The sequence below is a fragment of the Homo sapiens genome, chromosome 4 (genome assembly GCF_000001405.40).
Source record: "Homo sapiens chromosome 4, GRCh38.p14 Primary Assembly".
In the NCBI taxonomy this organism is placed as follows: Eukaryota; Metazoa; Chordata; class Mammalia; order Primates; family Hominidae; genus Homo; species Homo sapiens.
This window is the reverse complement of record NC_000004.12, coordinates 18,013,987-18,041,737: the sequence shown is the minus strand read 5'-3', so window position 1 is coordinate 18,041,737 and position 27,751 is coordinate 18,013,987. Positions and strand designations below refer to the sequence as shown.

At 38.8% G+C, this 27,751-nt stretch overlaps 1 protein-coding gene across 20 annotated transcripts in view, besides 3 other annotated features; it reads left to right on the top strand.

The window, feature by feature from the left end:
• Nucleotides 19,352-19,611: an enhancer, noted in NCBI's record as "active region_21357". NCBI's record gives its function as "activates an Ori minimal core promoter by ATAC-STARR-seq in GM12878 lymphoblastoid cells {active_cell/tissue: GM12878}" and the evidence as "EXISTENCE:reporter gene assay evidence [ECO:0000049][PMID:35858748]".
• Nucleotides 19,662-20,121: a silencer, noted in NCBI's record as "silent region_15314". NCBI's record gives its function as "represses an Ori minimal core promoter by ATAC-STARR-seq in GM12878 lymphoblastoid cells {active_cell/tissue: GM12878}" and the evidence as "EXISTENCE:reporter gene assay evidence [ECO:0000049][PMID:35858748]".
• Nucleotides 19,863-27,751, top strand: part of LCORL (ligand dependent nuclear receptor corepressor like) — a 180,689-nt gene continuing 172,800 nt past the window's right edge. For 12 of the 20 annotated variants that reach the window (NR_158568.1, NR_158567.1, XM_017007965.2 and 9 more), the window contains exon 1: nucleotides 19,863-20,140. Coding sequence is in view for 10 of the 20 variants with exons in the window: in XM_017007965.2 (XP_016863454.1) it covers nucleotides 19,987-20,140 (154 nt within the window). In the remaining 10 variants the exon portion in view is untranslated. Of the gene's footprint in view, nucleotides 21,208-27,751 lie in introns of all 20 variants that reach the window. The other 8 variants (NR_158563.1, XM_047449965.1, NM_001365658.1 and 5 more) reach the window with 4 other exon arrangements.
• Nucleotides 20,442-20,771: a silencer, noted in NCBI's record as "silent region_15313". NCBI's record gives its function as "represses an Ori minimal core promoter by ATAC-STARR-seq in GM12878 lymphoblastoid cells {active_cell/tissue: GM12878}" and the evidence as "EXISTENCE:reporter gene assay evidence [ECO:0000049][PMID:35858748]".

Below are 27,751 nucleotides of genomic sequence, written 5' to 3'. Positions count from 1 at the left end.
CACTGTTAGTTTGGGCTATTTGTGCACTACGTAAAGACGCTATGCCCAGGGAACACGGAGAGTGGAAATCCAGCTGGTTTTCTGCTCTCTTGCTGTGAGCCCTGGCATGTGTCCACCCAAAGAGAGCATATTTCCTAATTCACACAGACTCCATACAGGTGAACAGAGGCCCTTTTTGGACAGGACTTGTTTCTGCTCTTGAGTTTATCCCTTACACTTTGTTATGGGTTGAATCTTGTATGCTCCCCCCATGCTGGAGTAGGGTGGGCCTCATACTGGAGTAAGGCCCCTGCTCTAATATGACTGGTGTCTTTCTAAGAAGAATACCATGTGAAGACAGACACAAAGGAGGAATGTCTAGTGATAAGGAAAGCAGATATTGGAGTTACGCAACTGCAAGCCAAGGATCTGCAGAGATTTTCAGCAAACCACCAGAAGCTAGGAAGAGGCAAGGAAGGATTATCTTACAGGTTTCAGAGGGAGAATGGTCTTATCAGTGCCTTGATTTCTGACTTCTAGCCAGTAGAACTGTAGAATAATATGCCATTTCAAACTACCCAGTTTGTGATTCTTTGTTATGACAGCCCTAGAAACTAATTCACATGCCTGATACCGTCTTACTTTATCAGGTGAGGCAGAAAAAACAGAGAGAAAAAAAACGAAATACCCTGCCCACCACCAACTTAGCAATTACCATTTCCCTTGCTTCATCCTTTTTCCTCCTCTAGTTGAATAAAAGACTGCTACTCCAAGGAAGAAACTACAGTGAATTTAAGGTTGTTCTCTCTACATAACCAGTGATAGTTGATTGGCACCTGAGCTTGCACATAAAGCATATTGTGGAATCATTTTTTAAGCTCAAAAATTTGACTATGCAAATTCCCTTGCTGCCTACTACATAGAACTACTCTTTCAAAATAAATTCAGAGATTAGCTACTAATGGCTGTCACAAATATGATTTGGCAACTTATTTCTGGTTCTAAACTCTCAAAAATAGAATATTCCTGATACAGGAATAAATCTGAAACATTCCATGACAACAGAAACTTTCTTCACCTGTCTGTAAGATCTTTCCATGTCTGCTTCATAGACAGGTGGGAGAAAAAATAACTAGTCAAAACACAATTTTTTTTTCTTTTTAGGCAAGGTCTCACTCTGTCACCCCAGCTGGAGTGCAGTGGTGCAATCATGGCTTACTGCAGCCTCAACCTCCCAGGCCCAGGCAATCCTCTAACCTCAGACCCGCAAGAAGCTGTGACCACAGGCATGGGCTACCACACCTGGATAATTTTGTTTATAAAATACAAAAATATTAATGGCCAAAGAAACAATGAGATACATTCAGGCCAAGATGTGAATACAGACCTCTTTGGTTTTCTCCAACAATAGTCTCACACTGACAGAGGAAAGTAGTTCAACAAAGTAAACAAAATGGTACAACCAAACCATGCCCTTTAGAATGGAAATGCCATCACTACAGTTTAAACTTGCATCCATTAACATCACTGAGATTGCTGAATTACAAAATTCATCACTTAATAATAAGAGCACTTTCAGAAAGAACTCAGATCAGGGTTGTTGCAGCCATTGCTCAGTTGGCCTCATTTCATGAATAGAATTCATCGTGCTTGCCCAAATTGCTTTTTTATTTTTTCTCTTTGCCAAGGAGCTTAATCAAATAAGTTATTTATTTATTTATTTATTTACTTACTTATTTATTTATTTATTTCAGAGACAGGATCTCACTCTGCTGCCCAGGCTGGAGTGCAGTGGCACAATCATAGATCACTGTAGCCTTAAACTCTTGGGCTCAAGAGATCCTCCCCACTCAGCCTCCCAGCAGCTGGGTGGCATAAGCCACTGTGCCTGACTCTAAATAAGTTATTTTTAATATAATTTACTCTCCAAAGGGATCAAGCAAATAATCTAGAGAAAACTATGGTAGTTTATCACAGCCATTGGTAACTGTGTGAGATTATATGATTTGCTCATAATCCTTCCTTCCATCCCCACAGTGCTTGCCAAGATTCATCATGGGCAGAATAAAAATCCCACTTCACAGACTTTGGCCTCAGCCATGTGACTTGATTTGACCAATGGAATGTTAGCTAATGTGATATAAGGAGAGGCTTTAATGTTTCATGTTGCCTTCTTGCTGTTATACGATTCTGAAATCTTTGTGATGAAGGCATGTCCTAAGTAGTCATGGATCCCAGAGTGAAACAGGTGGAGCATACGTAAACCTGACTTGCAACTTGTAGCCACGTCTACCTGAATCTAGAAAAACTACACAAATCCATCAAGTTGAGAGAGACAGAGTGGGGGCAGAGAGAGAGGAAAGAGAGAGAGAGAGAGAGAGAGAGAGAGAGAGAGGTTTGCTGTTATTGTAAACCACAGAGTTTTGAGAGTTAGGTATTCTACCACAGAATTGCAGCAATAGCTGACTAATAGTGCCTGAGAGCAAAGACCTCCACATTCTGGCTCACCAGCTCACCTTAAAGCATAGATTGCTAGTTTAGAAACTCAGTCTGTGAACACAGTGTTTCTAACAGGTTTCTATATTATCTCATTGTTAAATATAAAAGTATAACTAAGGGTCACCAATCATTTAAGGAAACTGTAAACATGAACATAGGGGATAAGGTAAACAAAGAGAAGGAGATTGGGATACTAGAAGAAACAATTCAGGAAGGAGAAGTTAACTTAAAATGAATTTGAATTACTATCCTGAGATATGCTTTTAAAAAAATGTAACATAAAGCAAGAATAAGATGCTATGAAAAACAACAGTCATTGTATTACAACATACATATGAATAAATAATTGTTTAAGTCAAAAAAAAACCAGTAGAATAGTTTGAAACATAAACAAATCTTCCACAATGTACAGAAAAGAATAGAAATGAGAAATATGAGAGAAAAGTAAGAAATGGAATGAATCCTGATTGACAGGGGTACAAGAAAGGGAGAAATGGGAAATGGAAGGGAAAAAATTTTCAAAAAAAAAAAATAATTTCCCAGAGCAGAAATATTGAGTCATCAAAATGAAAGATCCTTTTACATATCCCACATAATGAATGGAGAATGACTTAGCTTTCTACATATCATTATAAAATTTCAGCACATTAAGGATAAAGAAACTTTAAGGGCTTCCAGGTTTTTTTAAAATCGTTCTTGCTATGGTTCGAATGTGTCTCCCAAAGGTCACGTGTCAGAAACTTAATTCCCAATACAACAATACTGAGGGGTGGAGCCTTAAAAGGTGATCAGGTCATGAGGGCCCTGCTCTCAGAAATGGATCAACATCCTTATCTCAAAGTGGGTTTGTTATAAAAGCCAGTTTGTGCTACCACCCACCCCTCACTCACCACATACATCCTCTTTCCTACATGAGGTCTTTCATCACGGGATGATGCAGCAAGAAGGCCCTGGCAAGATACAAGCCCCTTGACCTTGGACTTCTCAGCCTCCAGAACTGTAAGAAATAAATCTCTGTTCTTTATAAAACCCAGTTTGTAGCATTCTGTTACAGCAACACAAAATGGACTAAGAAAATCCTATAAAGGAATAAAAATGAAAATACCATGAAAATTTTCATTGGTAATTCAGGGTGCTAGCTGACCTTGGAACAATGTTTTTCAAAGTTCTGGATAAAAAATATTAATCAGGCATGAAGGCAGAATTTTAAAATTTTAAATATAAAACCTAAGAAAATGCACTCAGACACCCTTTACCAGGAAATTCCTGGAGGATATAATCCCACTACATGAAGGAGTAAACCAAGAAAGAGAAGGCATTCACCCATGGCTCCTATCAAGCACAGCAAGGACAGAAAGTGCTTGTGCCTACCTGCCTAAAAAGTAGCCAGTCCGTATTGGAATAGGAGAAAAGAGGACAGCCAGAGGAGGTACCTGGGGGAAAGGGGAAATTCAGGTTTGCAAGTATCCTTGAAAATGCCCTCAAGGTTCTGTTAGGATTCATAGTGCAAAAGGACAAGGCAATTGGAAACCTAAAGAAAACAAAAAACAAACTACTTGGCAACTCAGTGAACATAGTCATTACATGAAGATGACTTTTATTGATTACTGATTTTTAGGCCCAACCTATAAATAAAGCATAGAAGATTCAAATATGGTTACAGAATATATTGTAAATGTTATCAAACTTGACGTGAAAGTACAGAAAATGAAAAGTAGAAATTGAGAGGGTAAGAAAGAGCAAGCAGAAATGAGTGCTAAAAACCCTCATCTTGAGAAATGGAGAATCAAATATATTGTCTGTGGTTGATGAAACAGGCAATAAAAGTATATTACACATTTCTAAAATTTTAATCACAGCATGAGTTTACTAAGGCTGCCATAACAAAGAACTACAAACTGGGTGGCGTAAACAACAGAAATTTATTTTCTCACCGTCCTGGAGACTAGAAGAAGTTCAAGATTGGAAGAGTTCATTTCATCCTGAGGCCTGTCTTCTTGGCTTTCAGATGTCCCTTCTCTCCATGTGTCATTTGTTCTTCCCCCCATGCGTGTCCGTGTCCTAATCTCCTCTTCTTGTAAGGACACCAGTCATATAGGATTACAGCCCATCCTAATGGCCTCATTTAAACTTAAGCACCTCTTTAAAGGGCCTATCTCCAAATACAGTGACAATCTGAGGTACTAGGGGTTAGAACTTCAACGTGAATTTTGGGGAGGATGCATTTCAGCCTATAGCAATCACAAATGTATTTTTTAATGTATTAAGATATGGATCTATTGAAAGAGAGGAGGAGGGGAAAATGGATAGCTTGATAATGTCTAAAATTGAAGTGAAGAATTGGTGGTAAGAAAATATAATTTAGAGATATGGCACTAATTGAGGGATGCCACACAAGAGTTGTACAGATTGGTAAGGGTACAACTAAATATGGCAGTCCTGACCGACCACAAAAATAGCTTTATTTATTTATTTATTTTTTTATGAGATGGAGTTTTGTTCTGTTGCCCAGGCCGGAGTTCAATAGCACTATCTCAGCTCACTGCAACCTCCACCTCCCGAGTTCAAGTGATTCTTTTGCCTCAGCCTCCCGAGTAGCTGGGATTACAGGCATGCGCCACCACGCCCAGCTGATTTTTGTGTTTTTAGTAGAGACGGGGTTCCACCATGTTGGTCAGGCTGGTCTCGAACTCCTAACCTCAGGTGATCCACCCGCCTCGGCCTCCCCGAAGTGCTGGGACTACAGGCATGAGCCACTGCACCCAGCCAAGAATAGCTACAGACATGAACAGTTTAAAAAGTTAAAAGTCATTTGTTCTGGGGAATAGGACTGAGCTTGAGAAAAGCAAAAACAGACTATCCTTTTTTCAGTGTAAACCACTCTGTATGAGTTTACTCTTAAATCATATGTACATATTACTTTGATTAAAAATATTTTAGGCTTCAATTTAATAAAATAAAGAGATAAATGTTTCATTTCTCCTTTGCCTTCTCCTTGCCCCTGCCCCATTATAGTCATTGGAATAGACAGTAGTAAAGACTTCTAAGTGTTTTCTTGTCTCTAGACTCCTCCGACCCTTTCTACAACACCTCTAGAGTACTTTGTTTCACACAAAAATATGGCCATGTCACTCTCCTGCTTAAAATATGTCAGTGATCCTGCCATCCCCTGCGTGATGTTCCTTACTCTGGGAAATAAGATTTTCCAACATTTGTTCTTTGCCTACCTCTCCACTCTTTTCACTTATCATTCCAGTATTACTGCTTTATGTCCCCCAAAATGAACTGTTTGAGGTTTTCCCCACTCATCATGCTGTATCTGCCTTTTGTCTTGTATTTATCTGGCTGAAATTCTATTTCTTCTTCTCCTAAACTCCAACATCTCTTCTCCTCAACCTAATTGCCTTCATTCAGCTTACTTTCTTCTTCTCCTCCTTTATTCCAAGTTTATTGGCTTTAGACAAGCTCATTACAGACTTGGTTATCCTCTGTCCTTTGGTAAGCTTTTTTTTTTTAGCGTTGGTTTTTGTTCTCAAACTACATGTAGTGGCAAGACGGTTGTTGGTATGGTTTGGCTGTGTCCCCACCCACATCTAATCTTGAATTGTAGCTCCCATAATTCCCACGTGTTATGGGAGGGACCTGGTGAAAGATAATTGAATCCTGAGGGCAATTTCCTCCATGCTGTTCTCATAGTAGCGAATAAGTCTCACCAGATCTGATGGTTTTATAAGGGGAAACCCCTTTCGCTTGGTTCTCATTCTCTCTTGTCTGCTGCTATATAAGACGTGCCTGCTGCCTTCCACCATGATTGTGAGGCCTCCCTAGCCATGTGGAACTGTGAATCCATTAAACCTCTTTTTCCTTTGTAAATTACACAGTCTCAGATATGTCTTTATCAGCAGCATGAAAATGGATTAATACAGTTGTAGCACAGTTAAAGGAAAAGAGGAAGGGTCTCTTCCCAAATCTCACTGTGTCTCATTGACTCTGACTAGGTAGTGTACCTGTGCTTGAGCCAATCTCTATGGCCAGGGTGATTCGATGTTCTGATTGGCCAGTCCTGAGCCACCTACTCTAGTTTGCAGTCGGGGCGGAGTCAATTCCATAGGAAGCAGATAAATTAAGAACAGGAGAGGGGATAGTCTTCAGGAAAAAATAAAACTCATGTTTCCAAAAAGAAGGTTTACAAATGCTCTGCAACAAATACTACAGACAAACCACCATGAACACAAGAGTAGATTCTGTTTATCTCCAAAGACTCAGCACCTGGTATAGCACTTGACTAACATTAGGTGTGAAAATGTTTGTTGAATTTTTATTTGTAAGGTGTTGCTTTCTGACAAAAAGATATACTTTATGATAAAGTATATATCTTAAATATTGACATTTTAAAATTAAATCACCCAGTTCAAATGAGTTCAAATTGTTTAAGATATGTCTGAAAAATGAACTGAATTTTTATAGTTGGATATAAATTCTAATCATACTAAATTTGCAAAGTAAAATTCTGTCACAGTTTTATATATACTGTAGTTTTGTCTGAACTGAGAAAGTCATGAAAAATCTATCCCAAAGTAGTTGACATTTTGGAGGGCTTTTTATTTTTATTTTTTTAAATCTTTCTTAACCTAAGGAGTGCTTGGAAACCTATGCTTTAATTGAAAATGCTGCTTTGGCAATAAGTTTTACATAATTCTCCAAGTGCCTAAATAAACTCTTGGATCAAGGGATTCATAACAGAAAAAAAATCTTTCTTTTTAAATGTAATAAAAAGTACATCTGAAGATTTATTCTCAAAAGTGTGTGCAAACCAGACTTCTCTGAGGAATAAAGGTGTGCTAACAAGTATTCTATCTTAGCATTTGAGAGTCCCCCAACAGCATGACGCAACTATTTCATTAGCTGCGTGTGGGTAACTTGATTTTTCTCACTCCCTCTATTCTTTGTAGAACCTATCTGGGCAGCCATTTAATGCTAACAAGCCAAATTCTTTCTTCACTTCTTCCTGCCAAGTAGTACCATAATTGTCATCAAGACAGGATCATCTGTTTCATATTGCTTTTACTTATGCTGAATGAAAGCACCAGTGTGATTTGCCATTTTATTTCAGCTCTTATTCTTGAAAAGTAGAAAATTGAAAAGTAGAAAAGTGGTAAAAAGAACACTTCTTTTCCCTTTTCCAAATTATAAGACTGTGAATAAATTAACATTGTCCTGTTTGATACATTGTACTACTTTATTGGAAGCATAAAAATTACTAGAAGGGAAAGGGAAGGTTTTTAAGAGGAGAAATTGGTTGAAGGAGGGAGAAAAAGAAAACTCTACTTAGTAGTATATGAGATCTTTCACAGTCCAGAACTGCTTTGCCAAATATAGCCTCTAGCCACTGAGATTACGAAATATGGTTAATCTGAATTGAAGTGTACTGTTTTGTACAATACATATAAAATTTCAAAGACAATACAGAAAAAAAAGTAAAATATCACAGTAATAACTTTCATATTTATGTTTTTAAATGATGTTTTAGATATGTTGTATTAAATAAAATATATTCTTAAAATTAATTTCACTTTTACTTTTTAAAGGCGGCTACTAGAAAACTTTAAATTCCACATGTGGCTTGCATTTGTGTCTTACATTATGTTTCTGTTGAGCAGTGCTAGTACACAATGTACATGCCAAGAAGCTAGAATGTTCAGAGATGAGATATAATGAGGTTGAAGTCATATTTAACAGTATACTCAGTGCTATTTTGTTTTGAAAGGCTTCTTTGGAGAAATATTTGTCTCTCTAGTAGAGGTCAAGATAAAGTAGGTGCAGTTTTTCAATAAAGTTGCTAATTGTTTTTGCCTGCTGGGTAGATATATTCTCTTTTTCTGTTAACAGTGTACTGGTCTTCTCTGAGGAACTCTCTCCCTCCTTGATTTTGAGACCCTGTGGTTTGGCTGAGGCTGACCCATGATTCTAGAGCTGAATGTGTGACTAACCAATCAGAATATTCCACTCCCATGGCCACAATAATTGACTCAGGAAATTGATAAAAGTTGGTCAATTGAATCAGTTCTGTGATTTTGAGTAACTACAGAAAAAGAGATGTTGCTCATCTTGGGGATTAAGTCTGCAACTACTTACACACACCTTTTCCAGCACATGACCTGAAAATGGAAACCAACAAGAGGAGACAAGAAGAAACAGGTTCTGTTTGAATGCCTAGATCCATTCTGTTACTAAAGCTGCCACTTGGAATTTTTCTGTTTGTTTGTTTGTTTGTTTGTTTGTTTTGGGGGGTGGGGACAGGGTCTTGCTGTGTGACCCAGGCTGGAGTGCAGTGGTGGGATCTCAGCTCACTGCGACCTCCACCTCCCGGGTTCAAGCGATTCTCATGCCTCAGCCTCCCGAGTATCTGGTATTACAGATACTTTTTGTGTTTTTATTAAAGACAGGATTTCACCATGTTGCCCAGGCTGGTCTCGAACTGCTGGGCTCAAGCAATCCACCAACCTTGGCCTCCCAAAATGCTGGGATTAGATTACAGGTGTGAGCCACAGCACCCAGCCAGAATTTTTCAGTTTAATAGTTACCCTTCTTTGATCAAACAAATTTAAATTTAATTTCTGTCTTTCACTAAGAAGACTGATTAATATAAATAACAAATAATTGAATAAACAATTGCATTCATACAAGTCAACAAACATTCTTAGCACTTGTCTATGTTCAAGTAACTGCATTGGGTGCTGGTGGAGGAAGCCGCAAAGTTTATTATTATTATTATTATTCACTCATTCATTCATTTATACATTCAGGAAACACTCATTGAGATTCTTTTGTGCCAGGCACTATCTTAGGCACTGGAGAAGAAAAGACAGGAATTAAAGTCACAGATATTGAGGATCTTTTATTTTTCTGAATTACATTAACAATGTGCCTATTGCTAATTATTCTTGCTCTCCCCAATATACTTTCAATGTTCAATTTTCCACAAGTCAAATCTGTTATATAATCTCTGTTCCATTTTGTACCAGGAAATTCTATTTTGGATCCCTCCATCACCTTACTTGCTTTCGGACTTGTTAATTTCTGGATTTGCTGTCGTCTCTGATCTGTAACTGCCCTCCCTCCCCTTAGGAACTCCTTGACTTTTTTCTTGTGTTAGATTCCTACTTCCTAGATCACTATACCTCTTTGTAATAAGGAAGCACATCCTCCGGTAGTATCTTGAAAAGGGATACAGTATTTGTGAGGTCAATGTTTTGAGAACTTGCAAGCCTGAAAAATCCACTCTATTCCCACAACTGACTGATAGTTTGATGGATTTTAGAACTCTAGGATGGGTATTGTTTTCAGTTATAATTTTGAAGATATTGCTCCATTGTTTTCTGTTGAGAAGCCCAATGCTATTCTGATTTTTAATCCCTTGCACAGGGTCTATATTTTCTCCCTGGAAGTTTTAAGAATTTTCTCATTATTTCCAGAATCCTCAGCTTCCATGATTACATGTCTTGGAGTGAAATTACTTAATCTGGAGGATCATTTCCTTCAATTCTGGGAACTTTTCTTTATTATTTCTTTGATAATACTCTTTCCTAAGTTTGCTTTTGTCTCTCTTTCTGAAACCCATGTCAGCGAAACATTGGGCTTCCTAGGTTGATTGTGAAATTTTCTTATCTCCTATTATCTGCCTTCATATTTTTTAATACTACTTCAATGAAACTTTCTCATCTTTATCTCTCAGCACTTCTTTAAAATTTTGTTTTAATTTCATCTGACATATTTTTAATTTCCAAGAGCTCTTTCTTGTTCTCATTGTTCTCTCTTTCTATAGCATCTTGTTTCAAAGTAATTGTTTCTTTAATGATGCAATATCTTTTCTAATCTTTTTGAAAATGTTAATTATAATTAATTGGAAGCTTTGTTCTATTTCTTGAAATGTTTCTGTTTTTCTCTGAGTTTCTTTTATCTGTTTGTTTTGGTCTCTCTCTCTCTTTCAAGTTGGATATTTTCCTCAAATGTCAATATATATTTATGAGTGAGGTCCTTAAATGTTTATGGAAAGGTCTGCAGGGTAGGTGAGCTTTCTGAGACTTTGAGTTTCTCTTGAGAGGGATTGCCAATTTTTTGCTGAAGGGAATAAATCTGGTTACAGGTGTACCAAGAACAAGGTGGAGGAATTCAGCAAACTTTGACTATTTAATCTGTGTTCACGCTACAACATTTGCCCTACCCTTCTACCATGCTTGGTGTCCTCGAATCCATAATCTTTTCAGTCCAATTTTTCCACAGAGTAAATTTCTTGCAGGGGTTGGTATAAAAATCCCTGACTACATTATGGTGGAGACAAAGTCTGGAGGAGCAGGTGGTTCTCACAGCTCCTTATATAACATTTCAACAAATCCCCAGGCCATCAGCTCTGACTCTTACCCTTACTTTCTGCTTTACAATTGTTCTATTTCCTGAGAACAACGAAAAACAAAAAGAGATTGGGGGAGATCACTGATATTCAAAATAGTTACAGAGTTTTGATATGGTTTGGCTTTGTGTCCCCACCCAAATCTCATCTTGAGTTGTAATCCCCATGTGTTGAGGGAAGGACTTGTAATCCCCACGTGTCAAGGGAGGTAAGAGATTGGATCATGAGGGTGATTTTTTGTTTGTTTGTTTTAAATAAAGGAAAGAGGTTTAATGGACTTACAGTTCCACATGGCTGTGGAGGCCTCAGGAAACTTACAATCATGGCGGAAGGCAAAGGGGAAGCAAGAACCTTTTTCACATGGCAGCAGGAGAGAGAAGAGCAAAGGAGGAAGTTTCAAACACTTATAAAACCATCAGATATCATGAGAACTCACTCATTATCAATGAGAACAGCATGGGGGAAACTGCCCCCATGATTCAATCACCTACTTCCCTAGACATGTTGGGATTACAGGTCCCTCCCTCAACACAATTTGAGATGAGATTTGGGTGGGGGACACAGGGCCAAACCATACTGTTTTATAGTTAGATTTATTTTTCTTTCAACTTTCAGGTTTAGAGCTTAATGACTTTAGTATATAAAATCAGGTGGTTTTGCCTATTGAATTTGAAAGCCTATAATAGGATATTAGGTGGTTCTTACTTTCCATTGTTGCATAGGGTGATTATTAATTTTAATTTAAACTTATTATAACTTAAATCTTCAAATATTATACAATTTTGGCTAAGTTAAAAGGTATTAAAGTTTTACCAACTCCACATTTTCATTCACAACTCTTTTTTATAAGGGAAAATCACAACATAATTTAATTGCCTTATTCTTTTCTCTTTATGCACATGTATTCTCCAGGTAGATACTAATATGGGCCATTATCAGATTTCACAGTTTAAACAAGCCTTCCTTATAGTAATATGTTAAAATAAACTTCTTTAACCCAATGGATTTTACTTCAGAGGTTTATTGCTTGGCCTCTTTACCATGAAATATTGGTATTTTGTACTATTTTCATATAAAAATTTTTCTGTATTTTGAAACAGAGAGCCAAATCCTATTGTCAACAGCCTGAGAAACAATTGTCAAGTTCATAAATTGTTAATATTTCTGTCTGCCTAAGGCATGCTAGTAAGTAAAATGATATGCTTTGTTCATATAAGTGTTATGACTTAGTTTGTATCAGGCGTTTCAACATGCAGAAAGGCCAAATGATATTAATTTCTTGGTTTGAAATATAACCTCTGTAAAATGAAATTGTGTGACCACCTTTTGTCACTGTCCTGACATTGGGTGAAAAATAAGTTTGGGTTTACCAGTAGAACTTGAGAATAAGGGTAGATCATGGGTGAAGGAAGCCCTATAATCTTCCATGTTTCTTTCTTTAAAAAATCTCAATTAATTACTCTTTTATTTCAATTCAACAAAAGTCTCTTTGATACCAACTAGGTGTAGAATGCAAGTATACAGAGGTGGTGAATACCAGGCTCTGACTTCACAGTCTACAAGGTTATAGAGAGAAACAATAAGAAATAGTCACAGATAATTATATTACATGAAAAAATGCGGTAAGACTCATGAGAAAAATGAAGTGTTCTAAGAGCATAGAAAGCAGTAATAATCACCACTCAGTTGAGAAGTGTTCTTTATGGGAGTAGAATCGCATGGAATATCAGATGGGGACAGCAAAAACCCCAGTTTGGCTGAATGATAGGTTAAATATTGAGAGACCATAATTTTGTGTGCTACTGAAAATGTCACTATCTATCTTCCCCCAAAGATAGTGACATTATCAGTAGCCACTCCTGAAAATCAGAAAAAAATCCAGCTTCCTCAATTTCTGACTCCTTAATAGGCAGCTTTTCACCTTCTTTCCTGTTCTCCAGTGAAAAGCAGTAGTTAAATTTGGAAAGACAAAGATTAAAATTCTAGTTTCATCAGCAACTAGCTAGATGATGCTAACTTGTTTAAGTTATTTAACATCTCTAAGTCAATTTATATTTCTTTCTCTCTGATATGGGGATAATAATAATGAGAGTACTTAATTGCATAAGATTATGGTAAAAGGTAAATGAATTAATAATGTGTATAAATGCCAAACCACTGATAGCTCTTATTATAGGAAAAAGAGTCAACATTAGGAATCAAGAAATTGATCTTTAGTTTGGATGTGCTACTAATAAGCCCTGTGACTTACATAAATTGCTCATCCTCTCTGGGCCCAATTTCCCTATCTGCAAAATTAGGGGGTTGACCTAGATGATCTGTATTCCCTCTAAACTCTGATAGTCTAGGTACTATAGATGACATTCTTATTTTACTTTGATACTGAACTGTGCAATTGGATTAAATTGGATAAAATTGCCTTCATTGAGCCTTTAATACATTGAAATTTTATTAAAAGGCTGAAAATGAAAGTGACAATAATGCGTTAGGCCAGGGAAGTGATTTCAAGTGGACACAGAAAGAATAGTGGTAGATCAGGTCCTATCATCATGTCTGGATGTAAGAGAAAGTAGATGGTAAATGGTATTAAATTCAGGTGCCAAGCTCAAAGGTGTATGATTTTATGTAAAAAAAAATCAGAAAACATACTCATGCTAATTTTGGTATTAATTATCCTGACAGTTTAGGGCCTGAGTTGTCCTAATATAGTAAAACTTATGTCCAACTATGTGATATTTACTATAAAGACAGTAACAGGATGTAACAGTAATATTTTTAAAGTATCCAGTGATTGAACTCAACAAAGAAAGTAAAGAACAAAAATCTGAGATGCCACTCTGATATGAGTGACAGAATTGGACCAGCTATCATGCCCATTATTATGTATACTAAGGAGTCTTAGAATAGGAAAAAAGGAGACATTATAATCTAAGAAATGAAGTACATTATCACTATATTTCTGTTTTTTCAATCATTATTCCTGTTGTAAAATTTTATCTTTGTTCCTACAAAATGTACAAAAAGTGTTGATAGTATTTGGAAATGCATCAAGAAGACAAAATCATCATATATTTTAGATATCTCTAACTATTTAACTGCAGTATTGAAAATAAATACATTAACATGTATGTATTTCAGTTAATGATGTCTTTAGAGTCTATACTTCCATAAGGGAGAAGACTATTGAGAAATCTTTGACTCATGAGCCTGGATGAATCTAAGATGTTTGCATAAAGTTTAGTATAATATGACTATGTAGTTAATTAGAAATTTTTTGGAAGGGAAGTTTGTTCTATGTCCTAAATAATTGGTTTATCAAATTTTTCTCTGATGTTTTAATCTTAGATCGGTGAACTGTATTACAGGTCAGAACCAAAGGAAATACAGTAAAATGCGATTCTTTACAAGACAGATATAATTTACTCAAAAGATAGTTTCTCAGCATTATAAAGCATTGTACAGTTAATTAAGGTATCTAGTAGTTACGCTTTACAACTGTAAATATCTAATGCATACAAAATTGTTTAGATTTTATTAAATTATAAAATATATCGTTTTTTGGTACATACGGATAATATAGAATTGAGTAGGTATTTTACAATCCTACTAGTATATTGGATTGTTTATATTTGTTACAAAATATAAGAATAGCTTTAATTTTGGGTTAATATCTCAAAAATATGACTCTAGTCATACCCCTCTGTAATTTTGTATTTCTCTATCATGGAAATGTATTTCAAACTACTCCAATGTATTAGTATTTGTTATATCATGTCCTCCTAAAAAGCACCCTAGCTTGCAATTGACTAAGTGGTAAATAAATTAATAAACTGTTATTTGGCCCTGCAATTTATATGTCTTGGTGCTGTCTAAGAACTCTGTAGATGTGCTCATCAGTTTTAGGTGGATAATAGTGAACTTGGATAGTTATTTATGGTAGTTTGAAGTGATGACTCAGATTTGTTCACACCTTTCTGAATCCATGCCATTCGTTAGTGTCCTTATATTCAGACTTTGGGCTTGACCATGAGATTTGCTTTGGCCAATAGGATAGTAGCAAGCAGAACATGATGCAAGCTGACTTGAAAAGCACTTCTACATTAGTACTTATCATTATGTTGCGCTTCACATGCTGCTACTACATAAATTATTGGCTCTAGCTAGTCTCTAGATGGTAAGAGACACATGACTCAGTCATTCTCATTACCCCAGCAAACTGGGAGCCAAACTACACACCAAGAGTGAGGCCATTCTAGATCACGCAGCTTCCAGGACTAGCAATCTCAGGTAAGATGTGCAGAGCTTCACCTGATCAGCAGAACAGCCCACCTGACCTGCAGACTTGTGAATATTATCTACTGGTTGTTCTTTATGCAACTACCCTACGGATTGGCTTGCTGCACAGCAATAAATAACTGGTACAACATATATAGGAAGTAGATAGTAGAACAAAATTATTTTTCCAAAGAACATTAACATTTCATATCATATACCTGTTGTTATATGAAAATCCTTTGTGAGTAACTGGATTTTCAGTGTAGGAGACAATTTTTGATATGACCCTCTTTTTTTTTTTTTTTTTTTTTGAGACGGGGTTTTGCTCTTGTTGTCCAGGCTGGAGTACAATGGTACCGTCTTGGCTCACTGTAACCTCCGCCTCTCTGGTTCAAGCGATTCTCTCACCTCAGCCTCCTAAGTAGCTGGGATTACAGGTGCCCACCACCACGCCCAGCCAATTTTTGTATTTTTAGTAGAGATGGGGTTTCACCATGTTGGCCAGGCTGGTCTCGAACTCCTGACCTCAGGTGATCCACCCACCTCGGCCTCCCAAAGTTCTGGGGTTACAGGCGTGAGCCACTGCTCCTGGCTGATATGGCCCTCTTTTTATACTTGAACTTATAGATAACTCAAACATGTATCAAACCAATAAATAAATATTAGACACCATATTAGTGCCTGGCCCAGCACTTGATACTTAGAATGTAATGGTTAATCAGTTAGACTCCTATTTTTATGTTCATTGGGTAATTATAATACATTCTGTGGAAACTTCTTTGCTCTTCAAAGTGACGCTGAATTCCAAAGTTAATTCCATTTGTGTATTTCAATATTTCTGGTCTTAATCTTTATCTTCTCCCAGAAATTCTAGATATGTGATATTCATTAGTTCTGTTTATATCTTTAGTTCTCCTTTTTTTGGAGAATAGGGTAATCTTGCACTTCCCGAAATGTGGTAGACTACAAAAGTGGCCACAAATTATTTATTTCCCTCTGTCCAAATCCCTTTGCAATGTGACTTGCAGATCCTTCTATTAAGAGGTAGAATCTATCTCCCCATATCGACTCTGGGCTTGGCCATGTGACTTGCTTTAGCCATTGAAACCAGAGCAAATGTGACTCAAACTGAGATTTGAAAAGTGTGCATGGGGACTTCTTCTCTTGCAGCACTTTGGATCCCTCTGACTGCCACCATGTGAATAAGCTAGGGCTAGGACTGGCCTCTTGATGATACTTGGCCTCATTGCTCTGTGTTCCTAGCTGACAGTCAGTGAATCCTCAGAAACAGAGCTGCCTTGCTGACAGGCAGCTGACCACAAACACCTGAGTGAGTCCAGTAGAGGCCAACAGAAATGTCCAGCTGAGCCTAGCACAAATTTTCATTCCACAGAATTATGAGCTAAATGATTAGTTGGTGTTTCAAGGTACTAAGTTGTGGGGTAGTTTGTCCTGCCCTCAAAGCTATCTAATATATAACTCCTTAAAAGTCAGGCATGACCATAAAATTTGCTTCATCTACTGAAATGTGTCACTTCTGGTAGAAGCCTTTAAGAGTTGGACTGTGATTTAGCATCATCTTTCTCGTCATGGTGACTGGGGAGCTTCCAAATGGCATAGCCCCAGAAGCCTCAGTCCCGAGATGGACATGAGGCTTATAGGGCTCATGTTCTTTCCACCCTTTTCCACACTGACCTTTGGAAGACAGATAGTGTACTATGAAATAAACTTTTGTATTAACCTTTGTATTAAATCACTGAGGTTTTGAGTTTACTGGATTTTGGGTTTGTTACTGGAGCAGAACATAGCACATTCTAACTAATATATAAATTGGCACCCAGAAGGAGGTACAGTTATAACAGAAAATCTAAAATATGTGGCTTTAACTTAGAGGCTCAGTGGGTGGTAGCAAGGAAATTGTCAGAGGCTGGAAAGTTGGAGATGCTAACTGTCGTAAAATATTTGCTGAAACGGTTCATGTGTGTCTCCCATTTTTCTCCTTTCTAAACAGGAATGTTTACCATATGCTGTGGTTTGAATTTGCCCACGAAAAAGCACATGTTGGAAACATAAACTCCAATGCAACAGTGTTGGGAACTGTGGCCTAATGAGAAGTGACAGGCTATGAGGGCATAGTGAATGGATTAATGCTATTATCAAGGGAGTGGATTCTTTATAGCAGGAGTGAGTTCATTATAAAAGGATGAGTTTGGCCCCCTTTTACTCACTTGCCTTCTCTTTGCCTTTCCACTGTGGGGCCATGTAACAAGAAGGCCCTTGTTAGATGCCAGCACCCTGATCTTGGACTTTCTAGGCCCTAGAACCATGAGCAATAAATGTCTGCTCTTCATATAAATTACCCAGTCAGCGGTATTCCATTACAGCAGCACAAAATAGACTAAGACACCATGTCTATTTAGTCCCTATTCCATCACTGTGCGTGTGTGTCTGTGTGTGTGTGTGTGTGAGAGAGAGAGAGAGAGAGAAGAGAGATCGCGAGTGAGAGAGATCTGGGGAGAATACCTTATCTTTTTAGTTGTCTATAACAAGAGAAGCTTTATCCAGTTCCAATATGGAGACTACCAACCATCACCCAGAGATGCCAGACTTTGAGATTAATGCCTTTACTGAACAGAACTTTTGGATTGTCTCACTTTGTGATAGGAGTAAATCTATTTTGTAGTGTGAAGAAAGTGAACTGTAAACTGGTGACCAGAAGGATAGATCACAGTAATCCTTGATACTATTTACCAATAAATTCTGGTTATCTTCTTTTTGCACATATAATAGGATCGCACTTCCCTGCTCCCTTTAAGATAGATACGCCCGAATAATTCGCTTTGGTCAATGAAATGTGAGAACTGACTTGTATCACTTTTAGGAAGAACCAGTTCGCCATTCTTCATCTTCCTTTTGCCTATCACCCAAGGGGGGACGTTGCAGAGATTCCAGCCTCTTTAAGGATCCAGTTGCTTAGTGAGACCACATGGAATGAAGCCCCCTCCTCCTGCCACCCAGAGATGAACATGTAGATAATCAGGAAATAGTTTTTTGTTGTTGTTTTAAGCCACTAAGATTCTTGGATCATTTATTACTGCACCATAATTTTTCCCATCCTAACTAATGTAGATTACTATAAAAGTGATCAGGAAAACTGCAAAGGCTGATCATCGTGGCAATTGTGAGTGGAAGTGGTTAACTAAAACCATCCACTGACAATTCCAAAATCACCTTCACTAGTGATTTCACCTGCACTCCAATTGTGACCGTTCTAGAAAAGGTGATTATGCGTTCAAACTTTATTATTTTTAACTTATGAAGATGCAAAATTACATCTTCACTACTGAAGTCATAATGAGCAAAGAAATACTTTCTCATAGGAAGAAAAAGAAGGTGGATAAGGATAAGCCACAAAACAGGGAAGGTGGTACTGAATTCAGAGTTTATGAGATTTCCAAGAAGAATTAAACATATTTCCCACAGACTTGTGAATAAATTTCCAGAAATACACAGTACTTCTTAGCAAACGTTGGGTAGCTTAGCTTCGGCTTGATAAACTGCACTTATACGGAAACAAACGCACAATCGCTCTGGTGCAAAAGTAAAAACTGTGATTGGAGTCTGTATTTAAACGTAAGATTCCTCTCTAGCTCTCTCTGAAGAAGTTATTTTCTCTAGCACGTGGTAGAATTCATTCCATTAACCTTTGTAAAGTGCTTAATCCCGTGTCACGCACTGTACTAGGGTCTAGCGAGTGACAGATGTCACGGTACAGAGATCTCAGTGGGTCGCTGCCCTCCAGGAGCTTATAAAGAAAATTTTCCTTCTGCAGTTTTCAGCCGGCTACACCCAGTCCCCTGCAAGTAATTTTCAGTGAAAAAAACCCGCATCTTTTTCCTAGTCCTTGCAAATATTCTGGCTTTCCGAGATCTCTTCGCCTTGAATACCGAAGTCACTCCGGGATCTCTCTCTGGACGTTTGGCAGTTATTCCAGATGTAGCCGAATGACCGGCTTGCCCTTTCCCTGCGGAGTGACAGGAAGACAGCGACCCCGGAAAGTTTCCAGCACTTAAAACGCAAAGCGCAGCCTGAACCCACAAGGAGCCGACAACTCTTGCGGCTTCCACCACCCTTCTATCGCGGAGCCTAAGGAAGCTAAAGCAGTCGGGTCAGACCCGGCCACCGGGCAGCGCATGGTTCCGGGCGCAGGGAGCGACAGACTCAGCCCCCCAGCGGCGCGGCGCAGAGAAGTTGCAGGCCAGCCTGCATACCCAAGTGCGGGGGGGAAGAAAAACAAACAAACAAAAAAAATCCTTTCTTCTGGACTACAATGACCGGCAAGCAACGCGCCACGGCGCCAAGTTCAGCTTCGGGATCCTGGCGAAATGGAGCCTGGGAAGTGAAGTCTCCGGACTGTCGGAGTCCCGTAGTGAAGGCAGAAAGTAGGCGTTGCTAGTCCGCTCCACTAGCACGCCGGTTCCTGGCTGGGCTCCGGGTCTCTCGCTCCCGCTCAGGGTTTTCGCGGGCGGCGGGAGCGGTATGGCTCGCCTGAGTAAACTCCAGCGGGAGGGGGAGGAGGGTAGTGGGTGGGGAGGCGGGGTCAGCGGAAGCGGCAGGTTGCTTCCTTCTCCTCTGGCTCCCTCCCCGCCTCTCCCTGAGGGAGCGGTGGGAGGGGGAGGGCAGGGCAGAGGGAAGGTAGTGACACGTGTCAATCAACCCCCCTCCGGGGGGCGCGCGCTCCGGGGCTCGCGCCGAGGGCTCGCGCCCCTGCCTCGTGCCTGCGCTGCTCGTATGTAAATGAGGGCGCGTGACGCGGGACGCAGATGGACAAGGGAAGAGAGAGAATGGCCGCTGCCGCCGCCGCTGCTGCCGCCGCCGCCGCCGCCGCTCAGTGCCGGAGCCCTCGGTGCGCGGCGGAGAGAAGAGGATTCCGGCGGGAACTCGACTCTTGGCGCCACCGCCTCATGCACTGTGTAGGTAAGAGAGACGCGGGCCGGGGCCCCGGGCTCCGCGCGGCGACCGCTGTCGCAGCCCGAGGAGTTTGTGGCTGAGGGGTTTAGTTGAATCTCCCGTTCGGGTTAGTTCGGTGGGGGAGCGAGATGGGAGCGGCGCGGCGCGGCGGCCCCGGCGCTCGCCTTTTGTCTTGCGGGCTGCTGGCCCGGCGCGGTCCGCGCTCCTTCGCCTTCCCAGCTCTTGGGCTCCCCGGGAACTGTTAGTTTGGACCCGCTTGCTGAGCCCCCGCGGAAGCCGCCCGCTCGCTCTCTCCCCGAAACTCCTCGGCGCCCGTCGCTGCCCGCCGTCGCCCGCCGTCCACCCTGACAGGACGGAGGAAGCGGCCCGGTGGGTCGGCGCCCTGGCGGAGGAGAGCCGGCGGGCAGGGCGGCCGGAGGAAGGCGGGCTGGTCCGCGCCCCCGCCGAGCGCACACACACCCCCTTGTCGCCGCCGGGGGCCGGGTGAGCAGACGCGGCCAGTTCCCGGGGACCTGGACCTGGAGACCCACGGGCACTCGCAGGGCGGGGGCCGCTGATGGGCCGGCTGGGGGCGAGGGGCGGCGGGGGCGTCGTCCGAGGGGCGGGGGGCGCCCAACTCTGCCCTCTCGCGCTCGGCGGCGGCGCTGTGTGTACCCCTTTAAGAAGGAGCCGCTTGAGCGCTGACGGTTGGGATTTGAAGTTCTTCCTCCCTCTTTGGAAGTCTGGACGGATGGGGGGTGTTGCCACGGCAACGACACCCTCCCCCCCGTCTGCTTGCGGACGCCCCGACGACTCTGGTCCTCTTTCACTGTCATGTGATGGACTCTTCCTTACACACACACACACATATACACGCATACGCATCGCCCTCCCCACCTCCCATCCCCATTCAACTGCAATTCCCTCTTTTTGGTTGGATCTGAATCGTTTTGCCTCAAACTTCTGGGCTTGGGGCTCTCACCCTGTGGATTGTTTAGGGTGACAGGAATGGTGGGACTCCCGACCTTGCTGCAGTCGCTTTTTTTTTTTTCTTTTTTTGCCTAAGACGAATGCATAGAGCTGTTATCCAGCAGGTTGGTTTAGTGGGCTTAGAGGGGCGAACACGGATTATGGAATGGGGCGCGTTGTGGGTGTTTGTTTTGGAAGGGGGTTATGGGTGGGAGTGTAGGGGAAGAGGTAGAAAGGAAGGTTGTATTGTGTAAGCAGTGGATAGTGGCAGCAGCTTGCTCTACTGGCGAGTGAATCTTGGCATTTGGAGTTGGGGAGTAACCCTAGTGTCTTAAGAAAACAACTCTCTTACCTTGTTTCCATCTGCTCTGGCACCACCTCGCACCCCCGACCCCGCCTCCCATGTATTTGGTTAACGTCTTAAGATCTTTTTTTGACTAGTAGAGAAGAGATCGTATTAGGTTAAACTTAATACAATTTCAGTTCAGAAATGTGTACCGCAGAACGCGATGAATATAGGAAAATGTATGAGAAAGGAAGGTTACTTTAGGGGGCATTTAAGTGATGTTTAAGTAATTTACTGCTTTTGTTTTGCCCTTACGAAAAATGTATTTTGGTCTTCTCTAAGGAAAGATGATGAGAAATAGCTTTAGTCAAGTATTCGTAAGTGATTTTAGTTTATGAAGTGTAAAAAAAAACCTCTAGGTATTCTTTATATAAATTGTTTAAAAAACTAAATATTGTTGTTTGTGCTTCTTGAATACAAAATGGGCTGTTTTTGATAATTGCTTATGTAAAGATCTCTTCTGGAAACCAATTTAGAAATTACTGAGCTCATTTAGGTAGAATTAGGTAGGATGACAGCATTGCAACACTGGCTTATGATATTACTGTTAAGTTTTGTCAAGGCACAAAGTGATTTGAGGATGTCTTTTTATGTTTTGGAATATTTTGGTTGGTTTTTTTTTCTGGTCTTCTTGCTTATTTAGATACATTAAGTATAGCTTTGCATCATAAAAATAGATAGACTTGAAAAATAGTCAAACTTTAAATGAAACACAATTCATTGGATTTGATGGAAAAGGGGACTAGAATATCTTTTTGCCTTACCTACTTGTATATTCAAGTAAAATTGGAAGACATTGAAAGTTACTACTGTATTACACTTTTATTGCAATATGTGATTACATTGTATCGTATGTGAAAAGAAATTTTGTCCCTGGCTTCTAACTATATTTGAGAATTGTTTCCCACAGTCTCCATCCTAATTAAGCCCTATTAAAACCTGTCTCATATTCTTTGTTATTTATTTATTTATTGAGATGGAGTCTTACTGTCGCCCAGGCTGGAGTGTAGCGGTGCTATCTCAGCTCACTGCAACCTCCGCCTCCTGGATTCAAGCGATTCTCCTGCCTGAGCCTCCCGAATAGTTGGGATTACAGGCGTCCGCCACCACGCCCAGATAATTTTAGTATTTTTAGTAGAGACTAGGTTTCACCATGTTGGCCAGGCTGGTCTCGAATCCCATTGTTATTTTAAAATAAACAATAACATCCATTTAAACAGAGTATACACTTGTCGATTGGGCTTTTTTTAGCATCTTAGGTGTTAAGCACTTATTTATAGTGTGAATTGGGATTAAATGGAGTTTGGATAATTACCTTTTGCTATTAATGTGCCTTACATTCATTACTTTATAAACATATTTATAAAAAAGCCATATTATTTTCCCTTTGCATGTGTATACATGTGTGAATATATATGCGTACACATATGTGTATATTCAGTATATATATAATATTCGGTGCTCTCATTGCTTACAATCATTTTTATAAAATAATATCCTTCTTGTCTTTTGGTAAAGGAAATGATCCAAACATCTTAATTTTAAGTGAGATATGGAATTGTAGGCAGCGTCTCAGGGTTGTACAGCAAATTAGTATTGAGCCCCTAATGAGATTTTGAATCTCAGTTCTTAGCCTAACTCTAATCTGATTCATTTTATAACTCATATAATATTCTAATTTTATAGGGTAGAAAGTTGTTTTAGTTGTCATGACTGCTTGTAGTTAGCCACAAAGGTAAACGTTTAACTCTTAATATGGAATGAGATATTTACCTTCCTCTAATTGTGGCATTCATCTCTTTATGTTAGATTTTTAACTACTGTTCTGGTTCATTCCACATAGTTTTCTTTTCATTGAAGAGTTGTCCTACAACCTTTTGTCCCAATTAATATCTCTACTTACATTGTGGTACTTTCTATAATTTGACTGTTTTTCTATAATTATCCTATACTGTACTGTGTTATAGTTTTCAGTAGCTCATGTCACAAATGTTCGAGTGCTTATTGGATGTAGTAAATAGTATCCTAGTACTAACTATGATATTGAGAAATAGCAAATATAGTCCTGGATCTTATGAAATGTATAATATAATTAGCATTTGATAAGTCATACAATTTAAAACAGGTCTAGAATAAAATAAATACACCTGTATATTTTTAAACATCATCAGGACTTGTATAGTCCATTAGGATATCTGATCTGGGAGACTGGCCAATATTTAAAAATTTTGTATTTTGATGTAATTTCAATCTTAAAAGTTGGAAGAATAGAACTCCTATGTACCTACATTTGTTGTTTTACATTTTGCTGTGTTTATCATTCTTGCTTTATACTGATCTCTCTATATTTTTTCAGAACAGTTTGAGAGTAATTCAGAGACATCAACCTCTTTACCCCTAAATTCTTCAGTGTATATTTTTAAAAAACAAGGATACTGTCTTACCTAATTACAGTGAGGTTATTAAAACCAGAAGATTTAATGCTGATACACTGTTACCCAATTTATGGTCCATATTCAGATTATATCTGTTTATCTATTTTTTCTGTTAGCTTTTTTTCCTCTTATTCTGGGATCCACTTCAGGATCATGCATTACATTTGGTAATTATGTCTCCTTAGTCACTTTCAATTGGGAACACTTCGTCAACCTTACTATTTCTTGACCTTGACATTTTTAAAAGTACAGGGCAGCTATTTTGTAGAATGTCCCTCAATTTGAATTTATCTGTTGCTTTCTCATGATTAGATTGGTTATGCATTTTGGCAGGAATACCACTTAAGAGATGTTCTGCCCTTCTTAGTACATCATATCTTGAGATTCATGATGTTGGTGTGTACCAATGTTGGTGATGTTAGCTTTGAAAATTTTGTTAAGCTGGTATTCCTCATATGTATCCCTGAAAGTTATTATTTATCTCATTGTAACTAATATGCAATTTGTGGAAAAATTATTTTGGGGAACAGTATATTTACATAGTATAATCAAAGTTTCACCCACAAGTTTTAGCATCAGTTGATGATTATCTGACTTCATTCCTTCTATAATTATTAGTTGACATTCAGACATAAGGTAATCTTTCCCATCTCCATTATTTACTCAGTTGTTTTTATCTGTATGAACTCATGGATTTTTAATTTTATTCAGTGGTTAAATCCATTGCTGTCATTATTTTGATTCACAAATTGTCCCAGGTTTGGCCAATGGGTGTCTCATCAAGCTGGTTCCAGTGTTATTTCTGCAAAAACAAGATACTCCAGCTTAATTTTGTATTTTATCTGTCCAAGCTGTGGCATGAGCTCCTTTTCCAAATTTACCTCCATTCTTTTCAGTGGAAAATAGACTTAGATACCAAAATATAAGCAGTAGGTTTTAGGACTGTTTTTAAACCTGATTTTTATGATACAGAAGCTGATAATCACTGTAACCATTTTGTCTAAGGGCACAGCAGCAAAACAGAATGACAAAGATTGGTTTAGAATCATTCTGTAAACTTCAGTATCTTTCCTACATAACAGTGTTGTGCAGTAGAAATATAATGGAAGTAAAACATGTAAATTTAAGTCTTCTAATAACCACATTTAAAAAGCATATTTATCCTAATGTGTTAAGTATATTATCATTTTAACACCAATCCATATAGAAATTATTGAGTTAGTTTATATTTTTCAAAAATATTAAGTCTTCAAAATCAGGTATTTTACATTGATAGCACATCCCAATTTGGACTAGACACATTTTAGGTGGCTTAATAGTCACATGTAGCAAATGGCTTTCACTTTGCATAGTTCAGTTCTGTACAGTAGTTGCTCCAGCCAACTCTTGATTACCATGATACCACTTAATTAAAGCCTGTTAATAATAACCAAACCTATAGCTTAATTTATTTTTCCTCAAATCTTTTATTTTGGTAGTGTAAAACAGCAAATAAACATAAAGGTTCTAGAGCTAGACTACTTGTGTTTGAATCCTGTTGTTACCACTTAGCAGTGTGGTCAAATAGCTTAACCTGTCTATACTTTAGTTTCTTAATCTGTAAATTGGAGATAATCAGGTTGTTTGCTAATTTTGTGTTAATATATGTTGATATGTGTCTTTCATATAGAAAGCATTCCCTAAGTGTTTGCTAGTATGATTGGTTTACACAGGTTATTAGCAGCTTTGAACTCTTAACGTTTTTGCCAATAGATTCTTTCTGGTAGGAATCCTGATGAACAGTGAAAAGATCATGGAACATGTTAAAGAAAAGATAGTAAGGGCTTGAATGGTCTGTATTCTAGACTATTCTAGAGCCATAGAATTATAGTTTTAGAATCACAGGGTATCACTTAGTCTAATCCTGGCTTTTTATGTATGAAACCAGGAAGGCCTTTGATACCGAAAGGAATCTTTTGGCTATGTGGTAACTGAATACAATAAATTATTTTTAGCTCATTTAAAAAATTTATATCATACTAGATCATCTTGAAGTTGCTTTTTGTCGGTATCTACTCTCTATTTTACTTTTCCTGTTAATCAACTTGTTGCTACTTTCTGGATGCTTCTTGTCTCCTGCTCCTTTATCTTACCACTAACTTCTCCCTCATCTTGTCACTGTTGCCATGTAAACCCCATAAGAGTAGATTTACTTAGAAATCTGGATTGATGGGACTGGTATGGATGGGTCTGCTATCCAAAAGACTTTGTTTATACAGCTGTTTTTTTCAAGCACTATCAAATGTTTTCTATTTTAAAAGATGTAAATTGTGGCACCTTCTAATAGTGTGCATTGGACAAATGGAATCTGTGATGCTGATGAGTAGTTGGATGGTTAAGACATGTATCAAGTCTTTCTGTAAAATAGGCATATTGATGAATTTTGCATGCAAATTTTGAAGTTCTCTGTACTCTTGGATCTTTTTATATTTGAAAGAGTAAAATTCTGCCATTTTTGGAACCAAGCAGTGTGTAATTTTATATTTTGTAAATGTTAGATATGGGCTACAGACTGGTCTTAACCAGTCTTTTTTGTGTGATGCCCTCTTTGTGCACATACTACATCCCTTGTTTGGCTACATGGGTGCGCTGCTTCCTGATTGGCTGTGCGCATGATAAATTGCTGTTATGTGTCCTCTACATTCCTCTCATTTGTCTGACTTTCAACCCTGGTCTTTAATTCTTCTGTCATAGTGCAGTCTTGGGAGGAGCAACAAAGATATATAGATTTTTGGTTATGTTATGTAACTTTTTATTCCTCATTAGTAAATCTCATCTTTCAATTGTAATAACCTACATTTTTGGTGGGAAGTTTCTATCTTTTCTTTTTAGTAGTATTCCTTCCTTTTGGTATATATAACTAGCATTCATGGCTGATAGATAACAGAGCACCAAGGACATAGGTCCAAAATTTTAAGGACCTGCCTAACTGTATAGAGTTCATACTTAAGAGCTGAATCTGTAATCAAGTAATCTTTGCAAGAGTTTTTATTCACAATGCAATCTAGATAAGAGAATGTGAATGGGGGGCCCAGACCAGCCTACTGCTACCCATAGAAAACTGATTAACAAACTAATGCCATCTTTGTATTTGAAGAATACCACTTTGTTCTTAATTAAAGCAAAATAAAAATTTTGTTTTGAGAATTTTTGTGTTTGATAGAAAACAAAACTTAAAATGAGGAATTGTCTGTGTCTCATCTCCTTTCCTTTCATATAGTTTCCCCATAATTGGCAGCAACCCTATCCTGCTTGCTACATTTGCGTCTTACTTTTCTTTTTTTTACCTTAATCTGTTGCCAAGCTATTATTACTTTCTTTACAGTATCTCATGGATTCAATTTTTTTTTTTATGCAGTAAGCATTAGGACAGATCCAGATAAGATTCTGGTTTATATCAGTGTCTGCATTGCTGGTTTTACTGTCTTTCAGTCTGACTTACAACCAATAGTAAATCATTGTTTAAAGTAGCTGCTTTGATTTCATAGTTTACAAAGCTGTAGTATCTCCCATTTGTCTTTTTTTCATGAAATAAAAGCTGCCAGCCATGTTTATCTAGTTGGTCATAGTTTACCAGCCTGCTTCTTCAGTTTGTCTAGTTTCTTCTTTAGACAACTCAACCTTTTTCATAGACTTTTGTCCTTTTTTATCCACATTGCCCCAAATTCTTGAGTATCTTTTTATATCTTCTACCCTCCATCCTCAGTCGCCTTTAAAATTAAATTGCAGGCCGGGCACGGTGGCCCATCCCTGTAATCCTAGCACTTTGGGAGACTGAGGCAGGCGGATCACTTGAGCCCAGGAGTTGGAGACCAGCCTTGCCAAGATGACACAACCCCATCTCTAATA